Genomic DNA, 22,247 nt, shown 5'->3' with positions numbered 1-22,247 from the left:
ATTTCACCCCACCTTCGCCTGTACTAGATATTCATTCATTTAAAAATATTTATTGTCAAAAGGATAAATATGTCTAAGTCTGCTTATATGAGATATATAGAGTGGTCAAATTTATAGAGACAGAAAGTAGAATGAGGGCTGCCAGGGGCTGGGGAGGGGAGGATGGAGAGTTATTGTTTAAAGGGGAAGAGTTTCTGTCCCCAAGATGAACGGAGTTCTAGAGATTCATGGAGGTGATGATTACACAATAGTGTAAATGTACTTCATGCCTCTCACCCAGACACCTAAAACATGATTAAAATTATAAATGCCTGGGCATGGTGGCTCATGCCTATAATCCTAGCACTTTGGGAAACTAAGGCAGGAGGATCACTTGAGCCCAGGAGTTCAAGACCAACCTGAACAACACAGGGAGACTCTGTCTCTACAGAAAAGAAAACACTTGCTGGGCAAGGTGGTGCATGCCTGTGGGCCCAGCTACTCGGGAGGCTGAGATGGGAGGATCGCTTGAGCCTGGGAGGTTGAAGCAGCAGTGAGCTGCGACTGCAGCACTTCACTCCAGCCTGGATGACAGAGGAAGACCTTGTCTCAAAAAAGTTGTAAATGTCATGTATATTTTGGCAAAGTTAAAGAAATGAAAAACATATTTAATGAGTGCCTATTAGGTGCCAAGCACTGTTCTGGGTGTTGGGAATTTAGCCAAGAATAAAACAGACAAACATTTACTGTTCTTGTGGGACAAACATTCTAGTGAGAATACTTTCAGTCAAAATTTTTGCTAATCTGATTGGTGATAATAAAATCTTACTGTTTTAATACACATTTGCTAATTACTTACACATTTTAGCATATTCTCACACATATATGTAGCTTTTGTATTTCTTCTGTGAACTGCCTGTTGCTATCATTTGCCCATTTTTTACTGGGTTGTCTTTTGTTTGTTAATTTGCAGGAGCTCTTTGTATTTGATGGTGGTTGCCTCTTTATGTGCTGCAAATATCTTCTCTATGCCAATGACTTTGCTTTGGGATTCTCTCCCTGTGCAACGACCCCACCCCTCCCCAGCCATCTGTAAGTCAATCTTTTATGGCTTCTAGTTCTTTGTTTAGGATAATATTCTCCGTCCTAGATTAAAAAACAAAATTATCTTACACTTTATCTTAGTACTTTGATGGTTTTCATAGTTTTAGCCTATAGTTGTTTAATCTCTCTAGGGTTTAATTTTATGTTTTATACACGGAGAAATTTAATTTTATTTTTTTCCAAATGGAGAACAAATTATCCCCAAACCATATATTGAGTTGTCAGCTCATCTTTTCTACCGATTTTAAATATCTCATTATTCATTTCTAAATTCCTTTTTTCTTTTTAAATTCCCTTCTACTGACCTTTTAGAGAATTCCTGCCTAGACTCCATCTATTGTTAATTCTTATAGTTTAAAAAATATGTTAATTCCTAGAAGAGCAAACTTCCTCTAAGAATCTTAATATTTTCTCAGCTATTTCTGTTCATTTACTCTTCCATATAACTTCCTTTTTTTTTTTTTTTTGAGATGAGGGTCTTGCTCTGTTGTACAGACTGGAGTACACTGGTGTGATCATGGCTCAGTGCAACTTTGACAATCTGGGTTCAAGTGATCCTCCCACCTCGGTCTCCCAAGTAGCTGGGACAATAGGTGTGTGCCACCACCCTGGGCTCATTTTTCATTTTTTTTTGTAGAGATGGAATCTCCCCATGTTGCCCAGGCTGGGCTCAAACTGCTGGGCTCAAGCAATCCTCCCACCTTGGCCTCCCAAAGTGTTGGAACTACAGGCATAAGCCATTGCACTCAGTCTAATTTTAGAATCAGTTTGATGCTGTACAGAGTTTATAGTATGGGGGCTATTGATGAAATATGGAGTTGCCCCATTCAGGTACATATTAAGTCTCTTCATTTATTACATAACAATTTAAAAGCAATTGCAGTAGGTGCTTTGCAGGAAACCTATTCAGTCCTTTGAGAACACAGAATTGGGAAGGCCTTCCTTGGTCTAGGCCAGCAGCAGGAATGAGGGGGTTTGAGAAACTGGAAGGCTTTCTTCCAGAAATCATGTGTTGGTTTACTCTGGAAACTGATAAGGAATTAGTGAAGCAAAGTTGGGGTTGGGGGTGAGTCTTGCAAACACAGCAAGAACAGTATGTGTTAAGGTCCTGGGGCCACAGAGAAACCAACATGGCCGCAAGAGCAGAGTGATGTCAGGAGGCAGGCATGGGGCATCTCCTCTCGCAGGCCTGCAGCTGGAATTTCCTTCTGTAGTTGATAGAAAACTGTCACCCTCCAAGTCCTAATCCTGACCTTAACTGGGAGCAAGAAAGACACAGACTCACAGAGCCAGGGATTGTCTGAGTAATGAGGGTCCTTAGAGGTCACTTAAGTCCACCCATCCTCATGTGGATTGGGGGATTAGCAGAGCCAAGGTCATAGTGACCGTCAGTGTGGAAAAGTTCACTGAAGGGATCAAAAGCCAAAAGCTGGTTCTTTGAAAAGATCAACAAAATTGACAAATCTCCAGTAAGACTGATCAGGAAAGCTGAAAAGGGAACACCGCTATAGACCTGATGAACATTAAAAGGATAGTAAGAGGACATTGTAAAAATACACATGCTAAGAAGTTTGACAACACAGAAAAAAAATGAACAAATTCTTTGTAAAACACAACTTGCCAAAACAGACACATGATGAAATGGAAAATTCCAAGAATCCTGTGTCTGCTAAAAAGCAACAATAATTAAGACAATGTGATACGGGTATAAGGTTAGAGAGACAAATCACTGGAACAGAATAAGGAGTCCAGAAAAAGACTCACATATATCAAGTCATTTGATTTTTGACAAGGCACCAATGGAATTCAATGGAAAAAGAAAATATTTTCTAAAGCGACTGACACCCATATGGGAAAAAAATCCTTGACACTTATGTTGCATATATTAGTCCATTTTCACACTACTGATAAAGACATACCCAAGACTGGGAAATTTACAAAAGAAAGAGGTTTAATGGACTTACAGTTTCACGTGGCTGGGGAGGCCAATCATGGTGGAAGGTGAAAGGCATGTCTTACATGGCGGCAGACAAGAGAAGAGAGCTTGTGCAGGGAAGCTCCCATTTTTAAAACCATCAGATCTCGTGAGACTCATTCACTGTCATGAGAACAGCATGGGAAAGACCAGTCCCCATGATTCAATTATCTCCCACCAGGTCCCTCCCACAACACATGGGAATTGAAGATGTGAGAGCTGGGTGGGGACACAGCCAAAACCATATCATCTCACCATATGAAAAAATTAATTTGAGATATATAATTGGCCCAAAGAGAAAAGCTAAAACTATTCAGCTTCTGGAAAAAACCCACAGGAAACTATCTCTAAAACACATAGGAAACCATCTCTATAGACTTGGGATAGGCAAAGATTTCTTAAGCAGGACATAAAAAGCACTAACAATGAAAGAAAAAAACTGATAAACTGGACTTCATAAAAACTTAAAAATTCTCATCAAAGGACACCATAAAGTATAAAGACACACTATGGCTGGGTGTAGTGACTCACGCCCATAATCCCAGCACTTTGGGAGGCCAAGGCAGACGAATAGCTTGAGGCCAGGAGTTTGAGACCATCCTGGTCAACATGGAGAAAACCAACCTCTACAAGAAATACAAAAATTAGCAGGGTGTGATAGCACACACCTGTGGTCCCAGCTACTTGGGAGGGTGAGGCAGGAGGATTGCTTCAGCCCAGAGGTCAAGGATGCAGTAAGCCAGACTGCACCACTGCACTCTAGCCTGGGCAATAGTGAGAGACCATATCCACAATTTTTTTTTTTCTAAATTAAAAAAAAGACATGCCACAGACTAGGATAAAATGTTCACAATGTATACATTGGAAATATATAGAGAATATGTAGAGAAGACATAGATCACAAGAAAAAGATGAAGAACGTTGCAAGTGCCAGGCTGAGGCCCAGCAAGCAGCGTCTCATCATTAACGTGCCCCAGAATAAATCCCAGGAAGCCTCATCGGGCCCCTCCATCCACAGAGCTTCCTACCTGGGTAGTGCTGCTCCTTCCACTAAGCTAGATGTTTGCCTTGTTTGCTGGCTGGAAAAGAACTTGCACCTTCAGTGTTCACCTTATAGGGTGGCCTTATAGGGTGATGCTAGTTTTCTTTTCCCCAAAGTAAATACAGCATGTAAACACCCACGGAAAGAAAAGGTAACCCTTCCTTCAACACAGGAGCAGGGTGGAGAGCACGGTGGGTTTTGGCCCAAACCTAAGCTGCTCACCCATTCCCTGCTAGCCCTGTGAGCCAGGAGGAGGACCTGCCAGCCAGGGGAGGCAAACGCTCCTGTTCTTGCTTGGACCCAAGCCCACTGCTTGCCCTGCTGCCCACGCTTCTGGGAAAAATGGAGTGAATGATGGTATCCACATTCTCCTGCAGCCGAGGATATTCCAAAACCCAAGGCAAGCTGGGGCCTGTGCAGGCAGCCCTGAGTGCCTGTGGACAAAATGTCCTGGGCCTTCCGGGGCCACTGGGCTCAGGCACACAATGTTCAGTGCCCGACCCTTCCCCGGCGTTGCCTTCCAGTGGTGGCCTCACTGCCTCTGTCCAGTGCCAGTTTTTGGAAAAGCTGCTCCACCCTGACAAGTGTGGGTCCCACTTGCCCCAGGCAAAGCCAAGGCCCAGGCACCAGAATCTACTTTCTAACATCAAAGTGGCTGCTTCTGCGTGGGGCCAAGGCTGACGGTGTAGGCAGGGTGGGACTCAGGCTACAGGGTGCGGAGATGGCAGAAGCCGGGACAAGGCCATCACAATGAGTTCTTCCTGGCCAGGTGCCACCCTGGTCCTGTCCAGTGGGGCGGGGACAGCCTGAGGGAGGAGCCTCGAGGAATCCAGTGGCCCTGGTGGCCACACTGACCCAGCCTCTCCAGCCTCTCCTGGCCATGCAGTGGGTGTGGGCAGCAGGGACCAGAGTGCTCAGGACCTGCAACGCCACCACCCGGGGATGCCTGGGATCCAGGCAGGGGTGCAGTAGAACCCCCACAAGGCCAGACCTTTCTAGGCTGTGCCTGGTGCACAGAGGCCTCTCGGGGCCACAGGAGGATTCCAGCCCCCGGGGGCTCACAAGCTGCCAGGGAAGGGGCCGTCTCCTGCATGGCTGAGTCCCGTCCCGGCTGGCCCGGCAGGAGGGTGGGGATGCTGGCTGTGGTGGCTGTGGGGAGGCAGTGGTGGTGGCTGGCAGAGGACCCCACAAATGTGGCAGTGCCTATGGGAAAGGCTTGTCCTCACCACTCCACGTCAGGGAGTGGGCAGGAGCCGGGCTCTGAGCACAGCAGAGGGGGTGCCCACCCCAGAGGGGAGGGGGTGCTGGCTTCCCGGGAGATGTAGGGTGGGTGTGACCATCATTCAACACAGGGTGAGCTGGCAGCAATGCTCAGGCCTCTCCCATCAATGTGGGTGATGGGGGGAGCTTCAAAGATGCGTCGGGTCAGCCCTGCCTCCAGGGACCCCTCCATGTGGCAGGAAGATGTCTGGGGGTGCAGCGAGCCACGCTGTAGAGAGCTGCTCAGGGCCTCGGAAAGGAGAAAGACCTGCCACAACCGCCCTCTGCTCTGGGTCCCTTGGGCAACCAGGCTGTTCAGTCCCTGCAGCCCCTCCTTTCTGGCTCCTCCAAGTGACTGGTCCCAGGTCCATCCCTTCTGAAGAGCCAGGACAGCTGCCTCATGGACTGCAGAGGAATTGGGACCGGGTCAGAGTCCAGTCACCCTCAGAAGAGCAGAGAGACCTTAGGAAATGCCAGCTCAGAGACTTCTCATCTAAGATGAGGACATCACTGCCTGCCCTGGAGGGCTGCTGCCAAGAGCAAGGAGAGGCTTGTAAACTGTAAAGTGCTGTGCTCATGGGAGGTGCTGGAGGGCCCTGAGCTACCTCTCTGGGGCTACTGGGTGGCTTTAGACGATCTCCTATCGAGTTCTGATCCATGTGGGGAAATTAAGAGACAGAGAAGCAAAGAAATTTAATGAAGCATTTGTGTGAGTTTCAGAGGAATTTCGATTCCAAAGGCAGTTTTTATGGGCAGCTAAAGTGTCTCCTTGACAAAAATAAGTTTCTAACGAGGAAGTTATAGAGCAACTGATGAAGCCCAGGTACTGTAAATCATTAGCAATGGCCGGCCTCCTGCCAGGGTCGCTGGAGGAACTCAAAGATGAAGAAACAGAGATAAAGAATAAAAATAGAAAATAGATCTCAAAAAACACAAATAGTTCTCGAAAACACTGGAAAGCTGCTGATAAGATTTTTCTTCTTTATAAAAGCTCAGGGATAGTCCGAGCATTAGAGGCCACTGAATGGTACCTTTAGGAATAGCAGAGATGGGAGGGAAACCTGGTTAATGAGAGACTAAGCCACCCCTGCTGTGGCTCTGGGGCTGGCAGGTTCAGGAGGAGGCAGATCACAGAGATAAAAGGTGAGGCACTCAGAACCCTAGGAGGAACGCTGATTTCGTTTTTTAAGGCTGAGAAATAAGAAAGTAGCAGCTAAAGGCTAGCCCCTAACCAGAACTCTTTGTCTGGCAGAAGTTCATGCATTTAGACTCATCGGGGTAGGGACTGGAGCTAGGCTGTCGGGGGGGGGCCGTGGTGGGAAATAGAGGCTTTGACAATACATATGAACTATCACTCTGACATCCAGACCTGTGACTGCTATTCCCCCAAACAGCCTTTGCCAGAAGAGGCTGTCTTAGGCTGTTAGGGCTCCTATCATAAAATCCCATGGATAGGGTAGCTTGGAAACAACAGAATTGTATTTCTCACAGTTCCTAAGGCCGGGAAGTCCAAGGTCAAGGCACCAGCAGATCTACTGTCTCTCCTCTGCCTGGTTTGCAGATGGCACCTTCCTGCCAGGGTGGGAGGGCCAAGGCAGCTCTCTGAGGCCTTTCATAATAAGGGCACCGATCTCCTTCCTGAGGGCTCCACCCTCATGACCTAATCACCTCCTAAAAGGGCCCACCTCTTAATGCCATCACTTTAGGGGTTAGGGTTTCAACATATGAATTTGGGGCTGGTGAGGGGGGACACATTCAGACCATAGCAGAGGTTTTTGGGGCCTGCTTTAAAGAACAGAGAAGGCTCAACTGAAAATAAGCCATTGATTTGCACAATGTGGATCTGCTATGCCATCTAATAGTAATTTGCCTTCTCTGTAGATTGAGGTAAACTTCAGAAACAGCCCATTGGGTCTGGAAGGGCACTGGGCAAGACCATTAGGTTTTGTTCCAGGCCCTGAAGCTCCCTGTGGAACTGGCCCCTTACTATCCTGGCAACCCAGTGGCTTCAAATAACAGTTGAGGATTCAATGAGGCATCTCTGGTTTGAGCAGGAGGCCTGCAGAGTGTGGTCAGCAGTGATTGGTCACTGGGAGGAGGCTTTAACTATTACAATTTCACACAGTCCGAGACCCCGGTTTGTTGCTTTCTTTTAGCCAAACTTCAATCAATCACTTGCCTGCAAACATAGGAGCTTCCACGCTGTGCTCAGAAATGACCTCGGTGTGATGGTTTCTTCCAAGACCTGCAGAACACACAGCAAGAAGAAACCAGTGGGAAAACGAATCTGCATTAAATGAGAAGCACCTTGCACCATTTTAACACATAACTCCGTTTTGCAAACACTCTTGGTTTTTCACCATAATTCAATTGACAGTTGGAGTAACTAGAAACAGTTTTCAGGGGAAGGGCTTTTCAACATGAAACTGAAGAAATCAGTCAAGAGGTCTCTTTCCCGTGGATGCTACTGGCAGGTAACCAAAGTTGACTGGTTAGATAATAGATAATGAAACTTGTAGCCACAGAGGACTAGAAAAATTAATTGCATTTCATGAAATTGTACCACAAGTTGCCAAACTGAAGACACACTTTATGGTTCGGGTTTCTTTCTGCATTTAGTCACCGAAGTGGCGTCGCGCTTCTCAAACTGGGAGCCCGGGAAATGGCCACAGGTTCTCTTTGTGATGTTGGCCGTCTTCCTCCACCAGCGCTAAGGTGGTCTGTACATCGGGAGAGAGAAGTGGCTCCTTTTTAACCCTAACGGATTTACACAGACCATTCTCTTCATTCTCCTAAAACCCAAGCCTTAGTTATCTCGGTGCCTGGGGGACTCCGTATAGAGCTGTAAACATCACACCACACAGTGTGGCTTTATGAAAATCAGTTTCTTCCTATGAAGGCATCATTTCTTGGGATGGACAATATCAGCACTTCCAGCTCTGCCCCACACTGTCTTGGGGACAGACAAAGGGGAAGGAGCACCAGTGGGGAACCCTCCAGCGTCAGCAGAGGCGTGCACCCATCACCCAGTGTGGAGAGGCCTCAATGGGGCAGGGAGCACTGCCCAAAGCGGGGGAGCTTCACTTGCAGGGAGTGAGTGGATGATGGGCTTTGCATCATTTTGGGTTTACTCTGCCCAGAAAGCTCTGGGGGCACTTGAGGACTCACACTTAGGCAGAAGTCGATCCCGTGTTTGCTGTGATGGAGAGGAGATCCTAACCATTGCTTTTTCTCTTAGAACTTTTCTAATCAGAATGGATCTCGCTGTCAGGAGGCCAGGGGCCATCACAAGTGAGCTATAGCCAAGGCGATTTCCTGGACATGCAGACCAGGGGAGCTCGGTGCTCTCAGACTTTTTTTTTGGTCTAACAAGAATCAATATTTAAGATTATGCAATGTCCGTACCAGCCTGAAGTAGCTGCCAACCCAAGGACAAGGGTTGGATAATTTACAATGCAAGGAACCCATTCTTTTGAGAGGGGGAAGGGAAAAAAATCAAGATTTAAGCTTCTTATCCTGGGCTGAACTTTTCTCCTCCATTCTTAATGGCACTGGGCGTAAATAAACCATCCATTCTGTTTTGTATGAATGGTCTGTACTTTGCACAGATTCCGTGGAATCGACAGGCCAGTTTTAGATCCTTGACCACAGGTCTGAGCTATGACTGCCTTGGAAACAGCACTTATTTACATTTTTTTCAACGTACAGTACTGTCGTTTAGCCTGATCAAAATCTACCCTGATCTTCTTTTGCCCCAACAATCAGCAGAGAGAGCCTTTTTATTGTTGGCGACTAATGGTTCTTCTGTCCCATATTTTTAACGTGAAGATTAAATATTTATAAATGCCTCGTCAATAGCATCCCATAACCAGGTCCTCCCGAAGCCGCAGACCGTGGCCCATGCTCACTCACATGAAGTCAGAGGTCACAGGTCAAGTGAGCAGCTCGCAGCGGCTGTGGGGTGCATCTGCTGTCACCAGGATCTGGACAATTATTTAAGGGGCAGGGCTTGTTTGTCAAAAAGCCCACATCATGACCAGGAGAAGTTTCCTTTGTCTCCATAAAGCCCCTTCGAGTGAGGTGTTTACTGGAATCACAGGCTCCTGCTCCCTGCCGGTGACCTTCCTAACACTGTCCATTTTGAGGCCAGGAGGAAGCTCCCCTCTTTCCCACCCCTCAGAAGACAATATTGGTGCGACTCTTTCCAGGCCCTGGGGGACAGGGGCCATGTGGATAGGGATGGGGAGAAGGGACTGGGATGTCCAAGGTGCCTGTTCCCCCTGCTGAGGATGGGGCTTGGTTGGAAGCCAGTGGTGGATTTTAAACAGAAAGCATGCACCCTCTGTGCTCCTGGAGACCCGTGTTGGCATGGGCCTCAGGGGGTGGGACTGCAGATGGCCAGCACCGGGAGAAGGGGGCAGGGTCCAGAAGAGAGACCCTGGCACGGACCAGGGCGGTGGCAGAGTGAGAGGAGGCTCCGGTGGGGGTTCAGGGTTTAGTTGACAGACAGAGGCAGTAGAAAGGGGTTTAGCTACCCCAGGGGAGATGGATGAGAAGCCCAGGCCAGCTGCTGGAGCACAGCAGCTCTTTCATGCACACTGTTCCTGTTCCACACACCTTCGAAGGGCAGCACCGCTACCCAGGTGAGCGAGCCTTCTTAGCCTGGAAACAGACAGTCCCATGAGGGAACCCTGGGCAGCGACCTCTCAGGGCCTGGCTGGGGGAAGTGGCGAGCCAGGAGCCACTTGGCAATTTTGGGCAAGCCACACACTCGCTCTGGGGCTCCGTATGCCCTCCTGGAAGGTGCAGGCAGTGAGCCTTGCTTATTTTCCTTAGAGGGCTCTTCACAATATGAAGTGGGATGGTGGGGTCCCAGGGGCTGGAGGGTGAAGGGAGTCGACGGTGGATAAGGCCTGGGTGTGACCCACTGCTGGACACAAAGGGCTCTGGGGAAAGGACATTGGCAGGGTCTGTGCACCAAACATAACCAAACCCTATTACAAACATGGGGGGCACTTTCTGAAGACTTGAAGGAAAGAGAGCGAGGACAGAAATCTCCTGTCTCACCCTCCCACCCTGAATGCCCTCCCGTGCTGGGGCAGAGGGAAAAGGAAGCCCGTTCGCTTTCCTGGCTGTGCTGCCCGCGAGGGACTGGGGCTGCTGGCAGGCTGCACATCACCTTGACTGTGGCCCCGTCCAACCCCTGACTCCAGAAAATAGAGCCAGGGTGACACAGGAGGTGACCCAGCCAGGAGGAGTGAGACCCGCCTGGCTCAGCCCCTGCTGCTCTGTGGGCCCAGAGCTCCCTGTTCTTCTACAGTGGGGAGGCTGCCATCTGCTCTGCCCATCTCTTGGGATTACTGTGAGTTTCCATAAAATGAACAATGTCCACACAGGCACAAGCTTCGGAAACTGTCAACTGCTGTCCACGTATAACGACTACTCTGGTTTTCACATATGAACTCATGGATGCTTATTCAAGCTCCTGGGGTCAGGGGGACCACCCTCCTTCCTCAAAACAAGTCAGAAAATATCCAGAGTAAGTCTGGCATAAACTTCTAAAACCCAAAACCAGCTCTGTAATTGCAGGGCATGCTCATGATCCCTCCCCTCCCCCTGCTTCTCCCCACCATCCCCCTCATCCCCTTACCCTACCAGACTATAAACTCCTAGAAGGCAGGGCTGGTTTCTGGGGCCTCCTGACTGGGAACCCCACCAGAGAGGGAAGGAAATGAATATGCAGCCCTGGACTGTAAATCTCAATGTCTGGAAGGCACTCTTCCAAGACAGGAATGCGAGACGGCTAAAGCACCCTGGTTAATAGTGATGCATTGATAAAGTGATATTGATCATTATTGAGACTGGTCGGCCATCCATGGGGAAACACAAAACCAGCAGGGCAGCCCGGGCGAGCATGCACCTCTGTGGGCCGACCCGAGGGACAGCCGGCCCTCATAAGTGCCGCGATGATGATGAACATGTATTGATTTCTTTACTGTCTCTCCTCAGCCCCAGAGCACTTCATGCACTTATTGGAAAGTGCCTGAAACCAAATTGAAGACAGGCCCAACGAGGAGTATCAATCCAAACGTTAAGGGCATCGGAGGGCTCTGGAGCCAAGGAGGAGAGACAACAGGTCTTCAGCTTCCCCGGTTCCAAACACTTAAGGAAGTGCTGTGCCCCACTCTGTTCAATAGCTGCCTCTGCCTTGCCAGGAAGACAAAAAAGAAGAGGTTAGTGTCTACACACGGCTTCCAGGGAAGGAGCTCGAGCAGTCTGCAGATCCGCGGACATCCCTGCACACTGTGCCCCTCACTTCCCCTCCCCTGTCTTGAGTCTTGGGGCAGTTCGGCAGCCACCCGCCAAGGCCAAGGCTCTGAGTCCCCTGTGGAGGGGCTGCTTTGTGGCATGGCCACCTGCAACTCCACAGTCCTCGGGAACCCATGGGGTAGCTTGCCAGGGAGCAATGCAGGATGTCTCGGCCCCAGAAAACATAACCATTTAGTAAAACTAAAACCATTGAGTCTTATTTGGGAAGAATTTCAAACTCATAGGAACACTGCAAGAATAACAATACTGCAAACACCCATCGACCCTGCACCCAGATTTGTTACTGACACCGTTAATGTTGTCATCATGGACTTCTCCGCCTACAACTGTGTATTTTCTGAGCCACTGTTGGGGGAGATGAACGCACTGTGGCTTTTCATCCCCATACACTTTCTGAGAGGAAAGCATTAGGGACACAGCCTCAGTGCAGTCGCCAGCTCCGAGGTGTAATGCGGACACAGCACTCTCTCATTCACAGTCCTTTGTTGTCAATTAACCTAGTAATCTCCTTTCTAACATTTTTTTTTTCTTTTAGTCCAGGATTCAGTCCATCGCAGTTAATTGCCATGTCTCTTTAGTCTTCTTTTATCTGGAACGTCCTCACAACATTTTGTCCTGTCTGACATCGACATTTTTGAAGAAACACCCAAGCTTTTGTTGCAGCTTGCACACCGTGGCAGCTGGGCTGCAGGAACCTGCCTCCACCTCCCATGGACACGGGGACCAGCCCCAGCCCCAGCCCTCCAGCCACAGCCACGCCATGTCCCTAACCAGTGGGCTTTAGGGGTAAGCCTGTGGCTGCATGTTTGAAGGAGCCCCACAGTGGGCCTGGGGAACAGAGGCTGCATGTCTCTCCGGAGTGGGCTCTTTCTGGCCATGACTGTGGCTCACACACTCATGATGTAGGCAGCCCCTGCTCTGGGCGAGTAGGGTCTGTGGGGCCCAGCGACCACCAAAGCTCACACCAGAGCTCACCCACAGCTGGGAGGACCAACTCCTGCCTCAGCAGTGCCGCCAGAATCTCTGCGTGGGTGCGAGGGTGCTGGGCACTGGGCCAACCTGGCGAAGACTGGCATTCTGACTGAGGTTAAAGGCGATTTGAAGAAAGAGGAGCTGAGGGGATGAAAGAACCATCAGAAAACCCCTGTGTGTCTCATTCTGCTTTGGAGTGGGGTCCCCTGCAGAGCCCCGGGTGCTGCATGGGCCGGGCGGACTCCAGGGAAGTCCAGGCGAGTGCTGCCTCCTCGCCTGTCTCCCACCTTTGGAAACACCCAGGGCCCTGTGCTGGCAAGGTGCCCACCTCCCGAGGAGAGCAAGACCAGAAGCGCCCAGGAACACAACGAGCCAGCGGGTACTGCAGGAGTGCCGGGCTGGGGTGTGGGCCACCCCAGACACTGACACAGAACCCGGAGACGGTGGCCTTCCTGGCTGGTTCCATGAGCCCAGGTCATCTGTGGGCTGCACTGCAGCCAGGCGGATGGCCTTGAGGCCTCGGGGGCCTGGGACACTCCAAATGGCCTCGCTCCTCAGGCTCTGCAGCCCACTCTAGGACAGATCCCTTGAAAGACTGCCGATTAGGTTCTCAAGAGTTCCCTTAAGAAGAGGGAAAGGAGAAAGCAGGGAGGAGAAAGGGAGGCAGGTGCTTGGAAATGGGAGAGAGGGAGGTCAGCGGTGAGAGTGGGACAGTGGAGGCAGTGGCGGTGGGACAGCCTTGTGAGATGCCTGCTGACCCCCAGGAACGCTGGTCCAGGGCAGCTGCTCTGTGCAAGACAAGCACATGCCTTGTTCCTCAAAATGACCCTACCCTGCAGTGGCACCATGGCACAAACTCCCACAGAAAAGGCTTTGGCAGTTCCCTTGGAGAATTATATATTAGAATTTTACACCACTCCAAGCCTTGTACAGGAGAGAGGGCATCTTTTAGAAGCGATGTCCCTCGTGAACACTCTGTGTCATGGAGCCAGAGAAGGTGAAGCCATGGCTACAAAGAATAGGGACACTGAGGTTCAACCAGGACCTAGAAAGACCCATGAAATTAATCAACACCTGGTGTGGTAGACGCCTTCCTAAGTTTATCTTGAAAAGTCTTCTCATACTCCCTTTGCAGGTGACTTTGCTGTAACTGTCATGGGGACTGCGTCCCCTTCCCTTGGAGGTGTCTGCCCTGTGGCTTGCTTTGACCAACGGTAGGAACTGGCAGAAATGAAGCTGTGTGAGCTCGGGGGCCCAGCTCCAGCCAACACACCCCTGTCTCCACCCTCTTGATGCACAGCCCTGAGGCCAGAACATAAGGAAGCCTCCTGGGGGATGGAAACCATACAGGAGGGAACTGTGGGGCCCCCATCGACAGCAAGCAGCAGCTGGACAGGTGAGCCAGGCCATCCTGGACCCTCCCACCCAGCAAACCCTCGAGCTGAAGGAACCACGTGAGTAAGGAACTACCCAGCCAAGCACAGAACTGGGAGAAACAGCAAGGCATCACCGTTGAAGCACCGTGGTGGTCTGTTATGTAGTGACACATTACTGAAATGGAAGTTGGGTGCTGTTCTAACACGAACCTGAAACTTTGACCTGGTTTTCAAAGCAGGCATCAGGTGGAAGCTGGAAAGGTGCTGAGGAAGCACTGGGAGAGCCGTGAGGAGGGGACCATGGGAGGCTGGAGAAGAGCAACCTGAATGAAGCAGGGACAGAGCCACCAGCAGGACCATTGCCAGCAGTAACCTGGAAAATAGAAAATGTACCCAAATAATTTGTAAATATGGATGAAAACATTTCTTAGTAGAGTGTTGAAAGTGCCAATTAGGAAAATATATAGGAAAAGAGAGATGGGCTAAAAACCAAACCAAAACCAAAACAAACCCAAAATCCATTTAGTTTGCAAGCAGAATTCAGAGGGAACAGAAAAGTGTCAGGATTGGTTCGTTGAAAAATGGAAGTATTTCTCATTTTCGGTTTCAACAGTCAGCAAAATATCCCTAACGGAAGAAATGGCCTCAAAGAAAGGACTAATTTGAGGGTCTGCTCATGGGATCCTTTGCTGAGGCCTCAGAAAGACTGAAGGCAGTGCCTCAGGGAACCTCTCAACAAGGGGAAAGAGGCTTCCTAAGAACCCATGGAGCACTGTCTCATAGGAGCCTGACATATCCAAAGTGAAGAGGGGTCTGTCTTGAAAGGAATTACAGTTGTTCTTTTTTTGTGGGGTGGGGGTGGTGGTGCATAGAGAAGCCTCAAGCTCCAATAAGATTCATAGGAGACTCATAAAATTTTTGAGAGAAATGTATTAATAAGAGCACCACCAGCTTTCACTAAAAGGGGCTGATATCATTCAAAATTAAAAGACACTTCTGGGCCTCCAGCTTCCTATGGGCTGGAAACAGGAAAAGATGCTCATCTTCAAACATGGGCCATTTCTGATGGAAAATAAAAGATCCTTGGAGAATAGAACAAGAGAACAATGGAGAGAAAAAAGGACTAGGAAGCCCCTCCTGAGAGCATAACTGTGCCTTAATCAAGGAATATCTTCTTCCTCTAGAGTGGGGGGATCTGAATACCTGGGCCCTTCTGAAGCTTAGGATTGGTAAGAACCAGTGACCTCCATTGTGCCTCATGTTCCTCTCCTTTCAGATGGGGGTGACTGTTGTGGTCATCCTGGCCCTGTTGTGGGGTAACATGGCTTTTTAGTTCACAGATTTCTGGATCAAGAAGAATCACACCAGAAGAGCCATGTGTACATGTCCAGATGGACCTGATGTTGATCACAGCACTATGGTCTTTGAGCTAAGTGCCCTAACTGGGATAAGACTTTTAGCCATACTGGAATGGGAGAAAGAATATGGTGTATGTGGGAAGGAAATAAATAATTTGTGGCCACATTGTGGAACGTGATAAATTGTTTCATGGCCACAGATTCTTCCTTTGAAAAAGGCATGACCCTTTGCAATGAAACTCTGCCACATCTCCCATACATTTCTCAACTCTATTACATGAGGACTGGCCTTGTGACTTTGCCTTGGTCAATAACAGAATGTGGCAGAAGTCATGCTGTGTGCGTTCAGAGCCTGGGCCTCAGCTGGTCTTGGGGCTCCTGCCTTTGCCCTTTTGGATTCTTTCTTGAGACCACCATGTAAGAAAGAAGATCTAACCCACAGAAGGATGGCAGGCTACAAGAGACAGTGAAAAGGGCTAAACCTGTGAGTGGGACCAACCTGGACGGTCCAGCCCTATGGACCCTCTTGCAGAGTGGGGCCCACCCATGGGTGAACCCAGATGGAACCAGCAGAAGAGATGTCCAGTTCACCTACGGAAATGTGAGAAATAACAAATCATTGTTGCCTGAAGTGATTACATTTTGGGATAGTTGGTTATGCAGTAATAGAAAACCATAATATCTACCTGGCACTTTGGGAGGCCGAGGCAGGCAGATCACCTGAGGTCAGGAGTTCAAGACCAGCCTGGCCAATATGGTGAAACCCCGTCTCTACTAAAAATACAAGAATTAGCTGGGTGTGGTGGCATGTGCCTGTAATCCCAGCTACTTGGAAGGCTGAGGCAGGAGAATCACTTGAACCTGGTAGGTGGGAGCTGCAGCCTGGGTGATAGAGCAAAACACCATCTCAAAAAAAGAAAAAAAATAAAAAGAAAAGTATAATATCTAGCATGACTGATCCAGACCCAAACAAATAAAAAGGAAGGAAATATGAAATACTAATATCAGAATTTTTTTTAAAAGGGAGACATTTATAGATCCTAATGATATTGGGGTGAGTAAAGGGATATTGTGAACCTCATTATGCCACAAATTCAGCAAAGAGGAAATGGATAAATTCCTGGAAATACATAACTTTATAATAGACACAATATAAATAGAAAATGTGAACAGCCCCATATCTGTTGTTTAAATTGCATCTGTGATTAAAGATCTCCCCAAAAGAAAACTCCAGGCTCCAAAGGCTTCACTGGTAAATTCTACCAAATATATGAGAAATAAGTAAGACCAATTTTACACATTCTTTCAGAGAAGAGAGGAAGAGGTGACAATTCCCAATATATTTTATGAGTCCAGCATAAACCCAACATCAAAGCTGGAGAATAATGAAAGAGCAAAAAAAATTATAGGCCAATATCATTCTTGAACAGAAACAAAAATCCTTCACAAATCAAATCCATAATGTGTAAGAAATAAAATATAATCATGATCAAATGAGTTTACTCCAGGAACTCAAGATTGTTTTAATATTTGAAAATCAATTGTAAGTCACATTAGCAGAGTAAAGAGAAAAATCATACAATCATCTCAAGAGACAAAGAAAAAGCATTCAACTCATTCATGGTGAAATTCAACTCGCTCATTTTGAAAACTCATTCATTTTGAAAACTCTCAGCAAATGAAGACTGGTAGAGAACTTCCTCAATGAACTGAAGGGCATCTATGAAAAACCTACAGCTAATATCACGCTTAATGGCAAGAGCCTGGATGATTTTCCCATAAGATGCAGAACATGGCAAGAATGTCCATTCTTTCCACTTCTACTCAACATTGACTGGAGATGGTAACCAGTGAAATAAGGCAAGAAAAAAAAAAGAAAGACATAAAGATGGGAGAGGAAAAAGTAAAACTATTATTTTTTCACAGATGACATGATCAGATATGATGAAAATCCTAAGTAATCTAAAACTATTAGGACTAGTTGGTATTTTTTTTAAGTTTATGAGCTTCATGGACATAATTAAAAATTAATTGAGTCAGTCGTGAAAGAACAGGAAAATCTAGGAAATGATCATGGATTGGAGGAGACTAAGGAGCTATGATGGCTAAATGCAATATGGTATCTTGGAATGGATCCTGGAATAGAAAACCAATGTTTGTGGAGAAACTGGTGCACTCCTAATAAAGTCTATAGTTCAGTTACCAGTGTTGAATTGTTGTTAAGTTCTTAGTTTTGACGATTCTACTATGGTTACATAAGAGGCTGATGTTATGGGGGTCAAGCTGGGTCAAGGCATATGGGAACCCTCTGTACTATCTTTGGAATTCTTTTTTTACGTCTAAAATTATGTCAGAATAAAAAGTTTAAAAACACAAAAGACAGGGGAGGCTTCTTGACTATGACAGAAGCAGAGTGATTCTGGAGGCAGCTGTGTGGCAACCACCCTGCCTCCGGGCCAGCTCTGCTGTCCACATCTGGAAGTTGTTCCTGAGAGCTCAGCCTTTTAAACTTCCTTCCAAACATCCTGAAGCTACTTAATACCCTATAATCAATCCCTTGCTGCTTAAAAGAAGTCTCTACTAAGAAAATGAAAAGCCATGGATTAGGAGAAAATATTCCTAACATGTAGAACTGACAGAGGGCTTGTTTCTTGAATATACAGAACTCCTACAACTCAATAAGGAGGTCACAGTATAAAAATGAGCAAGGTGGGGGCCGGGCACAGTGACGCACACCTGTAATCCCAGCACTTTGGGAGGCTGAGGTGGGCAGGTTGCTTGAGCTCAGGAGTTCCAGACCAGCCTGGACAACATGAAAACCCTCTCTATGAAAAAAAAGAAAAGAAAAGAAAGAGAAAAATGAGCAAGGGAGCAAACAACCACATCACCAAGATGTGCAAAAGCCAGGAAGTGCTCCACACCATCAGTCATCCAGGGAATGCACAATAAAACCACCACGAGACCACCCTTCACACCCACCAGGGCTGAAATAAAAAGGAATAGCAACCTTGAATGCTGTTGAGGATGATGGGCAACATACCTGGCTGGTGGGTGTGTAAAATGGTGCAGCCGCTTTGGAAACCCGATAGTGTCTCTAAAGGTGGATGTACAGCTGCCCAGCCATCGCCTCCCATGCATGCACCTGGGAGACAAAATGCCTGTCCACAAAGAGGCCTGAGAAAGAATGTCTACAGCAACTTGATTTATAAAAGCCAAGAGCCGGAAACAACTCAACGTCCATCAACAAAAGAATGAATGAAGAAACTGTGGCATGCTCTTAAAATGGAATATTAATCAGCCATCAAAAATGTTTGGACTTTTGAAACAGACAACAAGGCTGAATCTCAAAGCATTCTGTTGGACGAGGGAACCTGACTCAGGACAGTATACGGTGGGATTCCAGTTAGCTGCAGTTCAAACATGGCACCATCTGTCTCCAGCACTTTTTCATCTTCCTGATCTGAAATGCTGTCCTCATTATACCCTAGCTTCCTGCTTCCTTCTCCAGCAGCCCCTGGCAACCACTATTCTACTGTGTGTCTCCATGAATCTGACAATCCTATGTGTCGAATGTAAGGACAACCACACGTTCTGTGTTCTTTTCTGTCTGGCTGATACCACTGAGCCTAGCGTCTTCAAGGTTCATCCGTGTTGTAGCATGTGTGTGCATTTCCTTCATCTGTAAGGGTGAATATTCCATTGTGTGGATGTGCCACACTGTTTATCTATTCATCTATCCAAGGACATTTTGTGTTGTCTCCTTCTCTTAGCTGTTGTGAATGATGCTACTATGAACATGGGTGTGCAAATACCTGTTCGAGAAAAGGTCTCTACCTTGACTGGGGTGTTGGTTACACAGGGGTATACACCTCGAACTCACTAAATGCTACACAGAAAACCTTCATGTCCTGAGATCACCCCTATTCCCCTCGTGCACACCAGGGCAGGCTTCATGGCCATCTTCCATTCCTCTGTGCCACCTCCCCCTACCCCCGCTGGCCCCACCCTTGGGGACCTGGGAGGAGAGCCCCCTTCTGCCTCCCCTCCAGCCTTGGGGCAGACCTTGGTCGGGGGTCTCCTGACCCCTGCTTGAGCTGTTACTTAATTCAACTCCACACCCAGCTTGGCCTGGGAGACATGTTCCCAGTGGGAATGGGCACACGGACTCTGGCTGAACCCCTAGAAGCCACCTGTCTGGCTCATCCTCCCTCTGACCCACCTGGAGTGGCCCAGGGGCAGGACCAGGCCCCTGTGCCTTCGGGGAAGTGTCCTGTGTTCCCCTCGGCTTTTGGGGGCTCCTCGTGGAGCACATCAGGCTCTCCCAGCATGCTGGGGTGGCTGCATATTTATAAAAACAAATCAACAATAGAGTTGAAACGGGCTTAAGGATCTCTTGCTTTTCTGGAGGAAAGTTCAGTATCGCATTAATAAAGAGAAACAGTAGGAATCATGGCAAAAATAATAAAAAAGCAGCTCTGTTGGAAAGGAGGAGCTGAAGCCAGCAGCTCTCTAGGGAATCTATGCCTAGTCTTGAGCTAATACTTTTCTGAAATAAGTTTGATCTGCCTTAAACATAATTAAAACCGCTTACAGTTTCTGCAGAGAGGATGCAGTCGTCGAAGTTCTGAAGCTGAACTAACTTGTGTGGCCTGTCTGCTTGGGCATCAGTCTTAGCGGTGAGCTGCGTCTCACCCACGTGAGTATGAACTGAATTTTCTCTGTCCTGGTTATTGCACATGCTGGAGACCACACAAGCCCAGCGTGCTGGTATCAGCTGTTGGCAAGTCTGCTTCCCAGCTGGGCTGCAGGTCCCAGCCCCAGGGACTCCATCCAGTTGGCTTGTCTGCCCTTGTGGAGCTGAGGCAGGTGAAGAGAAGCCCGCCGTGGACAAAGCTGTCTGTCCAGTCTGCAGCTGCGGCCGCCTAAAGGCCTCCTGAGTACCACATACCCAGGCAACTCCACACCCAGGTGGGACACAGAGATCAGTGCCGCTCAGGGCAGGTTTCTGCTCCCATGGGGCTTGATAGGTGGTTTCTAAAGAGGCACGATCTGTGAAGCCTGCTTTGCTGCCTGGCATTTGGCAGTCGTGCTCAGAGCACCCCTGCAGCCTAAGTCCTCGTCTGGGTCTCTCCCCCTGCCTGCTTGAGGTTAAGGGGTCAGAGCTGCTTCCTATCCCAAGTTTCATCAGGGGGCCTCTCACATGCCCACAAACACAGGCTGGCCTTGGATGGCAGAAGCTGGCCTGTCCAAATGTCTTTCAAGCACTCTAATTTTCCTGGTGGTTCTTCATGGTTTCCCTCCATAAACTGATATTTAAGAGGGGTTATTTGATCTACAAAGCACACAATGTATCACTAGTTAATTCATTAATGACATCAAAATGATATATTTGGATAATAGATATACTAGCATTTTGTAAATGTTAAAACTTTTACATAAAATATTATTGCCAATAATATAAAAAATTACTATTGCTATAATGCCACACTGTCAGGATACCTTTGCCCTATGGAATTGTACTAATGTTAGGGTTCAATTCTGGAAATAGCATTGTATATGCAAAAATTCCAAAGGAAGGCCTGTTTAGTTAAAAATAAAAGTAAAAATGGTTCAATCTAATGCTAGATGTGTCATTACTGTAAACCCAGAGAACCTTTCTTGAGGTTACAAAAAAGACCATATGGTGCCCATTTTAAATTCACCAACTACATAAAAGAGGGAGGATATGAAACCATTTACTGAAGTCAGAAACCTGCTGAGCAGAGGCTGGGCCTGGAGCAGCCGTGGGGCTGCAGGCAGCTCTGGGGGGCATTCTCCACCAAGCCCACTGCATCGTGCAGGGCCGTGGGGGCTCCTCAAGACTGACCACATCCACATGGCTCACAGGCAGTGACTGACAATGCAAAGGGGGATAATGTGTGGCATAGCAGGTGGGGACAGCAATGAGCCTCAAACTTGATAGTCTATAACTGCTGTTGTTAACAGCATCCCTGCAGTGGTGTTCAACACAGTCAACATTTATCCCATTTTTCTTGCCTATCATCTATTTTTGGGATGGGGAACTGAAAGATATACTTACTTTAGAGCTGATTTTATTTTTTCAGCATCATCTTCTGTCCTTAAACTTTTTTTCCTTCAAATTACCTGGAAGCCCCTTGAAGCCATCTGGTGTTCATGGAATTTGCTCACATCTTACTTGCCTTCTGGAGCTGGTGACCATTGGTGACACGTGCGGCACTAGTGTTTGCCACGCCCTTTAACAAATACTGGAAAGACGTCAAGTAACAATGGTTGTAAAGAACCAGCACGTCTATCCCCAAATCATTTCCCGACACCATCTCAGTTCAGAGATTCCTTACAAAGGAAGCAGACGCAATGCTGCCCTTCACCAACCGAGGGACACCCCAAGGACAAAAGCCCAAAGATACTGACCACACAGGAAGCTGACTTTGAAAATTAAATACTTTTGGCAAAACGCATTTTTTCAAGTTTTTAACTTAAAGTGAGATCTGATTAAAATGTTTTATGTTGCATTATTTCCTTTTTTATGTGCTAAATTAAAAAGCAATCTTTTACCATGGAGGATTGCCAGCATATAGAAAATAAACAGAATAGTATAATGAGCCTCAGACACTTTTAATCCGGCTTCCACACCATCAACATTTTGCCAACCCTGCTTCATTTATGCTTCCTGCCCCCATTACTACTTCTTTCAAAATGTTTACATGCTTTGAAATGCACAAATCTTAATTGTATATGTTTGACAAATGATACATTCATTTAACCTATATACCCATCGAGCATCAATTTTCCATCACCCCAGGAAGTTCCTTCACGATTCTTCCTAGTTC

The 22,247-nt window shown here is 47.6% G+C and overlaps 1 long non-coding RNA gene across 2 annotated transcripts in view; it reads right to left on the bottom strand.

The window, feature by feature from the left end:
• The window catches only part of LOC107984281 (uncharacterized), a 67,711-nt gene that overhangs the window by 13,999 nt on the left and 31,465 nt on the right, over positions 1-22,247 (bottom strand). The window contains exons 4-10 of one of the 2 annotated variants that reach the window (NR_186705.1): positions 21,476-21,662; positions 19,616-19,734; positions 18,437-18,538; positions 16,083-16,278; positions 15,896-15,987; positions 14,249-14,411; positions 7,540-7,605 (exon numbers count right to left, since the gene is read on the bottom strand). This is a non-coding gene — a long non-coding RNA (uncharacterized LOC107984281). The remainder of the gene's footprint in view (positions 1-7,539; positions 7,606-14,248; positions 14,412-15,895; positions 15,988-16,082; positions 16,279-18,436; positions 18,539-19,615; positions 19,735-21,475; positions 21,663-22,247) is intronic. The other variant, NR_186702.1, reaches the window with a different exon arrangement.

Source organism: Homo sapiens, chromosome 10 (genome assembly GCF_000001405.40).
Source record: "Homo sapiens chromosome 10, GRCh38.p14 Primary Assembly".
NCBI classification, from domain to species: Eukaryota; Metazoa; Chordata; class Mammalia; order Primates; family Hominidae; genus Homo; species Homo sapiens.
The sequence above is the reverse complement of the archived record's forward strand: the minus strand, read 5'-3'. Positions and strand labels throughout refer to the sequence as shown.